Source organism: Homo sapiens, chromosome 11 (genome assembly GCF_000001405.40).
Source record: "Homo sapiens chromosome 11, GRCh38.p14 Primary Assembly".
NCBI classification, from domain to species: domain Eukaryota; kingdom Metazoa; phylum Chordata; class Mammalia; order Primates; family Hominidae; genus Homo; species Homo sapiens.
The window spans coordinates 22,788,578-22,801,050 of record NC_000011.10 but is presented as its reverse complement, the minus strand read 5'-3'; the positions used below and the strand labels follow the sequence as shown (position 1 = coordinate 22,801,050).

The window sequence follows — 12,473 nt, the reverse complement described above, 5'->3', positions numbered from 1 at the left end:
TCATTGAAAAGGTAAAGTCTACATTCATGTAGATCACAGAAAATCATATGTTTTACTAAATGAAAAAGTAATGGCCACATAGGAGAGCCAGAAAAAAATATGCATTTATTGGTAATGTACTTGTTTTTTAAGATAACCAAGCTGTATATATCCTAGCTATATTACATAAACAACAAACAAGCAAAACCACTAACAAAAATAAAAACTACCCAACAGGAAATGTCTTTTCAATGAGAATTTTAAATTAAAAGTTCATGTTTATATTTTATAGCTTTATTTAATTCCCCAGCATAGATCTGCTTGAATGTCCCTGTCTGTTTGAAATCGTAATTCGTATGAAATGTGTCAGGTGTCATCGCCCTCTCAGGATGACAGTGACAAATCTGTTTCATTCTGTCTCTAATATTGTGCTGGTGGCCCTGAAAACTGAGGGCAGCAGGAGTATCTGTCAAGTGCTCTGAACACAGATGTCATTAGACCTTGAGGACATGAACGCTTTTCAGCAGGATGTCTCCTCATCTCTCACTCTTCACTAGTCCACCGTCTACTCCAGAGCCACAGTAATCTTCCTCAAAGGAAAATCTGAACATGCTACCGCCTTCTTAAAAACCTGTGAGGGCTCTCCATTGTCTAGTGTTTCTCAGACATTCTTAGCTACAGCTCACCTGAGAAATATGACTTACAGTAAATTGGCAATGTGGCGAAGATCCTGGGAAAGTAGTAGGGGTAAGGGGAGGACATCAGCATCCCCATGGTGGTCAGAAGCATACATAATGTGGAAAATTTGACAGCAATTCTGATACCTTCTCTTTTACTTCTACCCTCATCCCTCCATAAGAACAAGTAACCTGGCTCGCAAAGCACTTTATAGCCCAGCTACTATTTTCTTTTCCCACATTCTTTCTTACTATGCCAGAGTTATCATGTATGACTGTTCAGGATGTGCACTGCACAACTGTACTATACTGCATGTAGTCCTACCTTCTGAGCCCAGGCCCACTCAACAAATTACTCACTCCATAGATATTGTGAACTCCTTAAAATCCCAAGAAAGTTTCCTGCCTTTATACATGCAGAGAATTGTTCCCCATTCACTAGGTGAATTAAAGTGAATCCCTTCCTTTGATCATTCAACAAATATTTGTTGAGTGGCAGGCAAGGTTATTCCTTGCTAAATTTCATACCCTGGGTGCCTAGCACAGTGCCGGGCACACAATGTTTATTAGATGAATATTAAATGAATAAATGCATGTTAAACGACTGGATGAACAAAACTAATACTTACTAATGCCCCATTCCAAGCAACACTACCTTTATAAATTATATCTGCATTGCTTATTTAGGAAAAGATAGGAGAAAGAGAAAGGTAAAATGGTTTATGCCCTTATTTAGAAAGAGGAGTCTGAAAAAAATCTGTGTGAATGATAATTCAGACCAATTTTTGCTTAGAGAATTTCTTTGAGAGAAAGATAGACGTGGGTCAAAAATTGAAGCTATAACAGGAATTGCATAAGAAAGTGGGAGATTGTATTGAGAATCAAGAGAGAAACAGAAGAAGAAGAAATGGGGAAAAGGGAAGCAAAAAGAGAAGAAACAAATATCATGACAGAATCCATAGTGAATTAAGTACATTATTCTCTTCATGATCTTCATTCACAAGTTCTTATTATACCTGGAATGCATTTTTTAAAATACATGGTTTACAGCAGTAATAAATTGCTTCATAAAATTTTCACCCCTTCCTTTTCTGTCTTTTAATGCTTAAGTGCCATGGTTCCCTCAGTGCAACTCTGGGTCTCATTAAATGATTCCCCACTTAATGGACCACAGAGGCTTATGTTTCTGCACAATCTGTTAACTGCTCTTCACTGAAGTCATCCTTTTAAGAGGCAATGGTATCTGACACCAACTGCCTAGTAGAGACAACCCACCTAAATTTAGATCTGTTCAGCCCCCTGGGATATCATATGCTTCCCAACACCTTCCTGTCAACTCCATTCACTGTGTGTTTTTACAAGCCATCATAACTCGAGAGAAAATATTGTTTTTAGAATGCAGTCATCTGCTCTCCAGAGGAAAAGTGTTAAATTAATTTATAGGACAACAGACTCTGTCATTGTCTAATATTATTCTGAAATGGCATATGCTCAAAATTGGGTGATTGGGAATTCAGCTATCTCCCTGAGGTACCTTGACACATGGAGGAGTGAGACAGCAGGTGTTCCATGGATAGTTTGCCATGTTGAAAGCTTGATTCTAGCATTTTCAAGATAACTGATAAGATCACCTGTTAGCAGGGCAAACTGAGGCACTACTAATAACAAATGACACTTAAAGACGTCCTTGCCAAAGGTGGGGAATTCATTTCAACTTCTCTAGTTACGTGCGATTACAAATTGTTAATCACAGCCCAAATAAACAAGCTTCTGGAATTACCGTTTTACTCTTTACAAGCATTTTTTTCTTATTTATTATCTTATTTACTATCTCATTTTAACTTCCCAATAGTCCTTTAGCTTATTATACCCTTTTCTTAGATAAAACTTCAGAGAGATAAATAACAGTAAACAGAGCAGAAGCTCCTATTTGTTTTTCCTTTATCAGGCTGCCAACTTGCTGTATGACCAGAATAAATTTCTTTAATCTGTGTCTCAGTTTCTCATCTGCAAAATAATGACTATAGTAATTCCTTCCTCCCATAGTTGTTCAAACACAGATATTAATATGTGTAAGCATGTAGAAACAGTGCCTGGAACATGGTGTAGACTCAATAATAAATAGCCTGCTATTGTTATTTTTAAATAATAATGTTGTGCTGCTGCTGCTGCCACTGATAATGATAAGGTTCTTACAGGTTTTATTTCATTTAATCCTTGGAGCAACTCTAAGTGGTTTGCATTATGTTCATATTTAAAAATGAGAAAACAGTGGCTCGACAAGGTTAAGTGAATTGCCCAAGGTCACCTAGCTAAGAAGCAACGAAGTTCAGATTTGAAAATCTCTTAGGATTCAGATAATACTCATTACCACTCAACTATACATCCTAAAGTGACTTTGCCAAGGGTACAGTCACCTGAGTTTTTAAAGGTCTTTCCACAGGCAACACCTCTTTTCTTTAGGGATACATATTGCCATTTTATGAAGTCCTTGCTGATGATCATATTGCCCAACTGGGAATGAACCCCAAAACCACAATAAAGAAGGTGCTTTACATGCTTGGAACAATTTATGAATCTGAGCCTCATTGTTTTAGCCATACAAAAATGCTGAAAGTTAGCAGCAGCCAGCGTGCTTAGCCCTTGAGCTCACATTCAAAAATGAAATCTTATTAAAATCCTGATAGTACTTCCTCCTATTTAATTTTGTTATCATAACTACCCAGTGGCTCAGTAGGCAAGTATTAATGTTACCATTATCTGGATAGAGAAATAGTGGTTAAGTGGGTAGCTCAAGGACACACAGTGCACTAGTCTTCTGATGCCCAGTTGTGAGACATTGTCTCCAGTGATAAATCATACATACATAAAGATGTAATCCTCAAATCTTTATTTGAAGGGTGAACTACTATAGTGCCCTAGATGTTGAGAACCAATCTCCCAACATGGACAGGGCCTTGGGTCAGAAATATTCTGACTATTGGAACTGAACAGAAAAAAGTTCCTGGCCTGCTGTAATTGTTTCCCTCTGGTGGGGGAGGGAATTCAGCTTCATAAAGTAGGCTCATTGTAGAGACAAATGACTGTCAAGTAGCCTCTTTCTGGAAGCAAACATGGGAAAAGCAGCAAGCAAGTGACATATGATGATGGACTGGTGAAAAGTTCCATTTGCATCTGCTTGGAAATATGTGTAGGAGCACTTAACGCCAACTGCCGGTCAGTCCTCATCTCGTTGTTATGTAAGGGCTCCATTTTCCCAGCCCTGCACCAAATGAAATTAAGAAGGCTTAGTCTCCATCTAATTACCAGTGTATGGCACCATTTCAGACAGAGAAGACAAAGTCATAATAAATATTTTACAGAACAGTCAGCATAGTGAAAGCAATGAGATAGAAAATGTTGGTGTCAGAGGAAGGATTTGTAGCTGGTCTATACCAGAGTGAAATTAGAATTTATCCACTCCACAGATATAATAACCTATTTAGGAAGGGAAGCTGGGCTCCATGGAGCAAAGAAAAACCATTCCCTCTACTAAGCAGACAGGGCCACATTTGCCTGATTCAATCTGAATTCCATTATCTCTTCTAAACACTAATACCAAAATCCAACAAACAGGCTAGAATAAGTAAGCACTGGGAGAGCCAAAGTTTAACACTCCATGATGATGATACACAACAATGGTTTCCAAACTGATGTCCCCTTGAGTCTTAAAAGGCAACAAAATAGTAACCTAGATACTCTGAAAAACTATTACTTTGCTACTGGTTTTAATGTATCTTTAGTATATTGACATTAAAATGGAAAAATAAGTATTACTAAATACATTCAGTTCTTTCTATTGGTAAAATATTTGAAAATATGGGCCTCCTTCCTTTTAAAACCCTACTCAAATGAAAGGGAAAGAAAAATGTTACAAAGTCAAAGGATAAGGGAAGTTGAGAGGATAAAATGATAGAGAAGAAAGAGCAATACATTTTTAGAAGTTGGAAAACAAATGAGTTGTAACTAAGAGTGACAGAGGTGGAACTAAAGCTTGAAATGGCAGCTGTCAAAAAGAAGCAAGCCAAACAATGCCTGGAAACTATAGAAAATGTGGGCTTTAGAATCACCAGGTACCTCCATCAGGTGAGGAGAAAAATGCAGTTTAATAAAGGAGAATGGGTTGAAAATTGGTATAAGGATTGGTTAGCACCCAGAATTACTATGTCCCCACCCCAGATTTCCAATGCCAGTGACTGTGTCATCACAGCAGGAGACTGAAGGTTTATCTCTGCAGAAACAGAAATGTCTGACTGGCAGATGACTCAGCCAGAGGATGGAGAGAAGGAAAAATATATGATAAAGCAAATACAGCGAAAATTTCATTGCAGAATCTATTTGGGAGTTACATGGGTATTACCATCTCTATGTGTATGAAAATTTTCACAGTAAAATATTGGAGGAAAAATACATCTAAAATGCAATCTGTTCTCACCATCTTCACTACTAGCTCCTTAGTCCAAAATTTTTTGATCTCACCCAGATTATTTTAACAGTTTTCAAATTGGTCTTTGAGCTTTCACTTTTGCCACCCAGTGTTTTCTCAATGGAGCAACTAGAGAGATCTTGTTAAAATAGAAGTCACCTCATGCCATAACTCTTCAAAACCCTGCATGGCTCCCCATTTCCCTGGGTGTAAACTACAGAGCTATCCCAATAGCCTAAGTTTCCTAGAAGATCTGGACTCCTGTTACTTCTCTAACTTCATCTCCTACCACTGCATCCTTCAAATGCTCTGTGACAGCCACACTGGTGTCCCTATTTCCCAAACACTCAGATCCACTCTAGATATTCTTCACTTGGTGTTCTTTCTGTCTAGAATCTTTCCTCCCAGATAACCTCAGAGTAAACACCTCACCTCCTTCATGCCCTTGCTAATATCTCATCTTCTCAATGAGGCTTATCCTAATCACCCTGTAAAAATTGCTATCCCTCCTCCTGGTACTCCCAATCTGCCTTACCCTGTTCTGCTTCTCTTTCCCCATTGCAGCATGGCATTTACCACTCTCTACCATGCTATTTATTTACCTAGGTTTTCTGGTACAGTCTAATCCCTCCCAGCTAGGGTTGTCATATTTAGCATATAAAAATACCAGGACACACAGTCAAATTGGAATCCAGATAAACAATGAACATTTTCTTAGTATAAGTATATCCTTTACAATATTTAGAAAATATTCCTACTGAAAAGTATTCATTGTCTGAAGTTCAAATGGAATAGAGCACTCTGTATTGTATATGGCTAGGCTACACACTACACACATAAATATGAAGTCCTTTAGAGAGTCATGGATCTCCTGTTTTGTTCCCTGATACATCCTTATTTCCTAGAACCCTTTTTGTTTCATAATAGATGTTGAATAAATATATGTTGGATGAATGAATTACTGATTTTCTCAGGATGAGCTCTGGAAATTGAGGGAGTAATCTACACAAGACTCTGATCCAGTAAATAGTGGATCCAACAGAACAAGGTAGAGAAGTTTCAGGGTGACACTGTGAGACAGACCTGGCTAGGGAAATGTAGGGGGCCAGAAATCAAACGGATAAATTCACTGGCATGTTTGCCTGTGACATTATTGTGAGGGTTTTACCCTTCTCTAAGGGGACCTGGTAAGGGCCTTTTCATCATACTTAGGACAACACAATGAAGCATTACTGACTTCCAGAAAAATTGAAATTATTGCAAAAAGGAAAAGTAATCATGGTGCACTATAATATTTACATGATCATTATAAAATAAATGCTGAATAATGATTTGACCAGTGTTATGGCATGGCTAATGATGTTGAGCAAATAGAAAGAAAGGAAGTGTAATATGTGTGGTGAGTGGGGGAAGGGGAGAGAAAAGATGGCTAGATCGTCATCTTCCTACTCCTGCTACACTGAATTCATGAATATGCCACAGAAAATATCTAAAATTTAAAACTAAGATAAAGCAGCATAATTAAATAATTTAGAAGCTTGGAGATAAATACAAGAAGAAACAGTGATAACAGCTGCCTCTGGGGAGAACTAGGGAGGGAAAATAAGAGTGGAAAGGGGTAAGAAAGGAGGAGCAGGTTTGCTGTTTTGAGGGCATAAGTCTTACAGCACCATTTTATTAACAATGTATATGTATTTCTTCATAAAAATAAAATTAGGTTTAAAATGCCCAGCTCAGCTGCTTAAAAAAAAGCAAGAAGACAGAAATATTTCCAAAATATCTACATAAGAAAATGTTTTCTTCACTAAAAAAAAAAAAATTGTTTTATTACTGTGAAGATCTTATTCTTGTTTTGTAGACTAGCTGGCATGCTGTCATACAATTCACTATATAAAGATGTAATTTTATCTGAAATCGTTACAAAAGTAAGGATGAATAATGATCTTATTCCCCTCCCCCACCATACTTCAGGAGTAGCAGATAATGGAACAGTCTTCTGACCTTAGGCACAATCTAGCCACTGAATTTCAAATCCATTTCCTAACATTTTAATTGTACTTTATGGTTACAAAATCCTCTCTTGTACCATTTCACTTTATCCTTTAATGTTACTTTTTAAACTATTTTCATATTACACATTATTTGAACTCCTCTGATCACAAAACACAACCATCATAATATCCTCAGACAAGGCCATGACTGAATTAGGACTCAAAGCTTTGCTATTTATATTGCTTTTCCTTTGTTTTATCTTCCCCTTTCTATAACATACTTCTGAATAATTATAAGCCTTCATATTTCTCTCTCAGAAACTTTCTCCCCAAGATCATCATTCCCTGTTCTTCCTATTTCTCTTCACACTTTCCATAGCTTCATCATTGTGTTCTCTATAAATCTAATAGGCTCCAAACATTTTCTCTGGGGCACAAAGTCTTCTTCTTTCTCTAACTCTGTGTTTCTCAATCATTTTTTGCCCAGACTATACTAGTTGACTTCTTTCAAAGCTTTAATGTTCATAAAGTTTTCCTACTATCTGAACAGTTAATGAACATAGAAGAAAATTATAAACCAATTTCATTATCTATACATAAAACTCACTTTTGTAATTATGTTCTTTTTAAAATTTTTTTAATTTTTAATTTATTTATTTTTTTTGAGATGGAGTTTCACTCTTGTCATCCAGGCTGGAGTGCAGTGGCACGATCTCAGTTCACTGCAATCTCTGCCTCCTGGGTTCAAGCAATTCTCCCGCCTCAGGCTCTCTAGTAGCTGGGATTACAGGTGTGTGGCACCACACCTGACTAACTTTTATATTTTTAGTAGAGATGGGGTTTCACCATGTTGGTCAGGCTGGTGTTGAACTCCTGACCTCAGGTGATCCACCCACCTTGGCCTCTCAAAGTGCTGGGATTACAGGCTGAGCCACCATGCTCAGCCATGGCCTCTTTGTAATCCCTGTTTTTGTCTTCCATACATATCATCTTTGTTATGTCTTTTAAATTGTTTGACCTATTCTGAATTCCAAAGTCTTCCTTTACTGAATATTCTGATCCCATCACTCATTTTCCAATATGAGTAGGTGAAGCTTGGGGCTCACTTCCAAATTTTTCAGTCTTCTTAAAGATGAAGTCCAGAAGAATTAAACAATTCATCACTGACTATGTCTATCCACCCTTGCTTCAGAGCTGGTCACATGCTGACTCATAAATGAGCCTATTGTTCCATGGGGCCACCCAGAGGTCTCCGTAGGGAGGATGACACAAACGCTGTTTATAAAAGCCATACATAACGAATGCCCTAGGAACTTATCACTACAAACTGCCTGCTGAAATTCAGCCAGTTTTTAGACATAAACTCCCAAAGCTCCCATGTTGACTCTTTGCTCTTAAATTTACTTTTGCCTCTAGAAATTCTAGTAACTTTATTCCTTTCAAAGTTTACACTAAAAATTGTCACCAGTTCAACTTCTATTTTTATATTTCCACAATTTTATATTTCTATTCTCTCATTTCTATAATTTTTCTCATGATTTCCTAAAGTCTTTCATATGTGTGTGCACAGGTCTGTTAGATGCACACAGGTAGTAGAGAAAAATGTGTATAAATTATTCCCATCTGATATAAAAAATATATATCCATCCCATTCCCATGTCTTTTTTCCTTCAACTGTTGTTAGAGGGATGTTGTTTATCTAATTAGGGCCCAGCTGGCATACTAGAACTACTTTCTATTTGTTTAGTCCACCTCTCTCAAATGATATGTGTTTTCTTATGACAAACTATGGCACAAATCTTCAGCTATGTGGATCCCTCAGCCACTTCCTTTTCTTTCTCCAGTAACCCACTGTGTGCAATGATATGTTCCTGCTTGCACAAATATCTTTAGTATTTCAGAATCTTACCTGCATATCCATATCACTTCATGTCAGTGAGAAACTATGAGTTTTCTGATAAACACCTTCCTGTGCCTTTTGTATTTTAAGCTAAAAAATGATGTTAAAGGAACACCAATATTCACTCCTCATTGATAAGTCTAACTTATATTTCCTAATTGTTTTCAATTCAGCTCAGCCTCCAGTGATGTGCTTGTTTGTAGAAGGGCCTCATATACAGAACCATTCCTAAGTTGCCAACACTTTGGTTTCATGAAGTCATCGCCTTATCTATAGTATATGTGTAGGGAGGCAAAGCTGGCAATAGTGTAACTCATTCTGATTCTGTTCATTCCTTCATTTGTCTTAAAAGCCCTCTTTTCTTGGTTCCAATATCTTTTAAGTTCACCCATATCTCTTTTCTGCCACTTTGTGATTCATTCTCCCTAGTATCTAGCCAGTTTATTATAGTGAGATCAGAAAAAGAAAATTAATTAATGTTAAAGTCACATTAGTGGCCTCCAGATTTTAAGATCTTTCCTCTTTCTTTTCCTGTATATTATGATTAACACATACACTTTAATGGAAATGGATATTCCATCTTTGGCCCATTAACTTCTAAAAGTAGTTGCGAAAAGCATGTCTGTCAGATCTTGAAGACCTCAGCACTGAGACCTGCAAACTGAGATGTGCTATCCATCTACACCATGGACCTGGTGGTAATCTCTGATGTCTGATGTCAGCACCTAAAAGGCTTGCCTCTCCCTTTATATTTTATTTTTGTCTATTTCTCCATTTAGAGACACCCCCATCCCCTCTACACCTTTTCTAGATCTTTAACTCAGTTTCACAAGAAATTCCATTATCCAGTCACTCAGTATCTTCACCATAAATTCATTCTCAAATCTCAAATTTACCATTTTTTTCTTCTCTGTCTATCCATTACCCAAACAGGTCTTCAGGAAGGGGATTTAATCTTGCCTAATCTATTCTTTTTCATTTTGAGTATTTGATCTCTGATAGCAGCTATTTTTGCTAGAATTTCTTCACCTTTGTGGTTTTGTTATCTATGCTCTCAGTGTTATTTTTATTTCTCCTCTGATGTCCATTTATATAGCTGTTTTATTTCCCAATTATCTTTGACACTCTGAAGCAAAAAACAGGTCTTCTCTGCATATGCTACATTTCAAATTTCTTATTACAATGCAATTTTAATAATCTATATTATCTATCTATATTTAATAATATATCTTTGTTAAGCTTATTCTAATAAAGGATGCTAAGAAAACATACTGAAAGCTGGGTGTGGTGGCTCACGCCTGTAATCCCAGCACTTTGGGAGGCCAAGATGGGCGGATCACTTGAGGGCAGGACTTCGAGACCAGCCTGGCCAACATGGTGAAACCCTGTCTCTACCAAAAATAACCTGGTGACTGAGCGAGACTCTGTCAAAAAAAAAAAAAAAAAAATAGAGAAGAAGAAAACATTGAGGATACTTTCAGCCGAGTCTTTGAGGGCAATAGGTTTTGTGAAAGTGTCCTCATTGGAGGAAATGATATGAGCATCAAAGAAAAGTAGGACATTGTTGGATGAAAAAGTATAAAAATGCTTTCCATCTGAGGGAAATCAGGTGCAGAGGGACAGAAATGTAAAGCAGCATGGCTCTGTACACAGCACTGAGTAGTTCACTATTTTTTTTATTATACTTTAAGTTTTAGGGTACATGTGCACAACGTGCAGGTTTGTTATACACAAATGCGAGAGGGATAGGAGAGGCCCGTCTGAACGCTATTGCAGTGGTCCAGGCTAAAGAGGGTTGACTGCACCAGGGGTGGTGTGGATGTTAGAATCCTTCTCTCAGTGTTCCAATTACCTCACTCTCATCCAATTTCCCACCAGATTTTTGCTCTCTTTTTTCCGGGATGCACTGCTGATTCACAGATGGAGATCATGCCATTGGCTGTAACATGTGTTAGGTAGGTAGAGTAGGTAGGGGTACACATAACCCATTTAACAGAGGAGAAAAGGGAGACAGAAGGAAAATGTGCTTACCAAATATGTTGTCTCTTTCTAATGACTTCCAGAACAGACCCGGAGAGCCATGTTTATGTATCATACCATGTTAGAAAAATAAACATACTTTCTCATAGCTAATGTGTTATAAGGAACCATTTACTTGTTTTATAACTCGGTCAGCATTCTGAAGTAAAATATATATCCGTATATCTCTCTATATAGAGAGATATATATTTCTTTTCTGCTAGTTTCAAAGACTACATTAAAAATACATATCATGGCCGGGCGCGGTGGCTCACGCCTCTAATCCCGGGACTTTGGGAGGCCAAGGCGGGCGGATCATGAGGTCAGGAGATCGCGACCATTCTGGTTAACGCGGTGAAACCCCGTCTCTACTAAAAAAAATACAAAAAAACTAGCCGGGTATGGTGGCGGGCGCCTGTAGTCCCAGCTACTCGGGAGGCTGAGGCAGGAGAATGGCGTGAACCCGGTAGGTGGAGCTTGCAGTGAGCCGAGATCACGCCACTGCACTTCAGCCTGGGCGACAGAGCAAGACTCTGCCTCAAAAAAAAAAAAAAAAAAAAAAGAATATATATATATATATATATATATATATATCTCATATGAGATACACACACATACACACACACACATATATATGTACATATATATGTGTATATGTGTATGTATGCCTATGTGTGTGTGTGTGTTTGTGTGTGTGTGTGTGTGTGTGTGTGTGTATATATATATATATATATATATGAAATCTAGGCATACTGCCCCAGGAAATTGAACTTTTTCTACTTCAGCCAATTAACTACTGACTAGCAATTGATTCCCAAAAGTATCTCCATCAAATTAGTGTCAATCCTGATAACAATGACATGGCATAGGATCTTGTACTTCTTCTCTATTACAGTAATGATCAAGATAATTATATATATAATTATATTTGAATTCTTTTCCCACTACATTGATCTACTTTGGGAAATTATAGGTAAATCATCAGTATTTCCCTAGTGATTGCCACAATTCCTGGCACATAGAGGGATTTAAAATATCTATTAAATGATAATTAATAATTACTGAGTAATTACCTAATTGGTAGACACTGTGATATGGACTTTAAATGCAATATCTCATTTAATTTTTATACTTATTTTGTGAAGGAAATACAATAATTATCTCCAGTTTATGGTTGAAGAAAATGGAATTTTAGATTTTAGTATTAATAGAGATAGTAAATTATTTAATCACAAAATTTAGTAAGTGGCAGAATTGAGATTCAAACTTATACTACTGACTATTATACGATGTTGTCTCTCTCAAATATATAAATGAGGGAATAAGTAATTAAATAGCTTGAATTTGCTGGCAATTCATGAAGCATCACATAAGCTCTGTCCCCAATTAGTACAAACCCTAGATTAATTAAAAATATAAAAATCACTTTTGATCTGTAATTA

General features: G+C 37.1%; 1 protein-coding gene across 16 annotated transcripts in view, besides 1 other annotated feature; it reads right to left on the bottom strand.

The window, feature by feature from the left end:
* The window catches only part of GAS2 (growth arrest specific 2), a 187,054-nt gene that overhangs the window by 12,005 nt on the left and 162,576 nt on the right, over positions 1-12,473 (bottom strand). The gene's annotated exons all lie outside the window — the stretch shown is intronic.
* Positions 7,757-8,956: an enhancer, noted in NCBI's record as "CDK7 strongly-dependent group 2 enhancer chr11:22813641-22814840 (GRCh37/hg19 assembly coordinates)". NCBI's record gives its function as "activates an origin of replication core promoter dependent on BRD2, BRD4, P300/CBP, MED14 and CDK7 cofactors, with strong dependence on CDK7, by STARR-seq in HCT116 cells {active_cell/tissue: HCT116}" and the evidence as "EXISTENCE:reporter gene assay evidence [ECO:0000049][PMID:35650434]".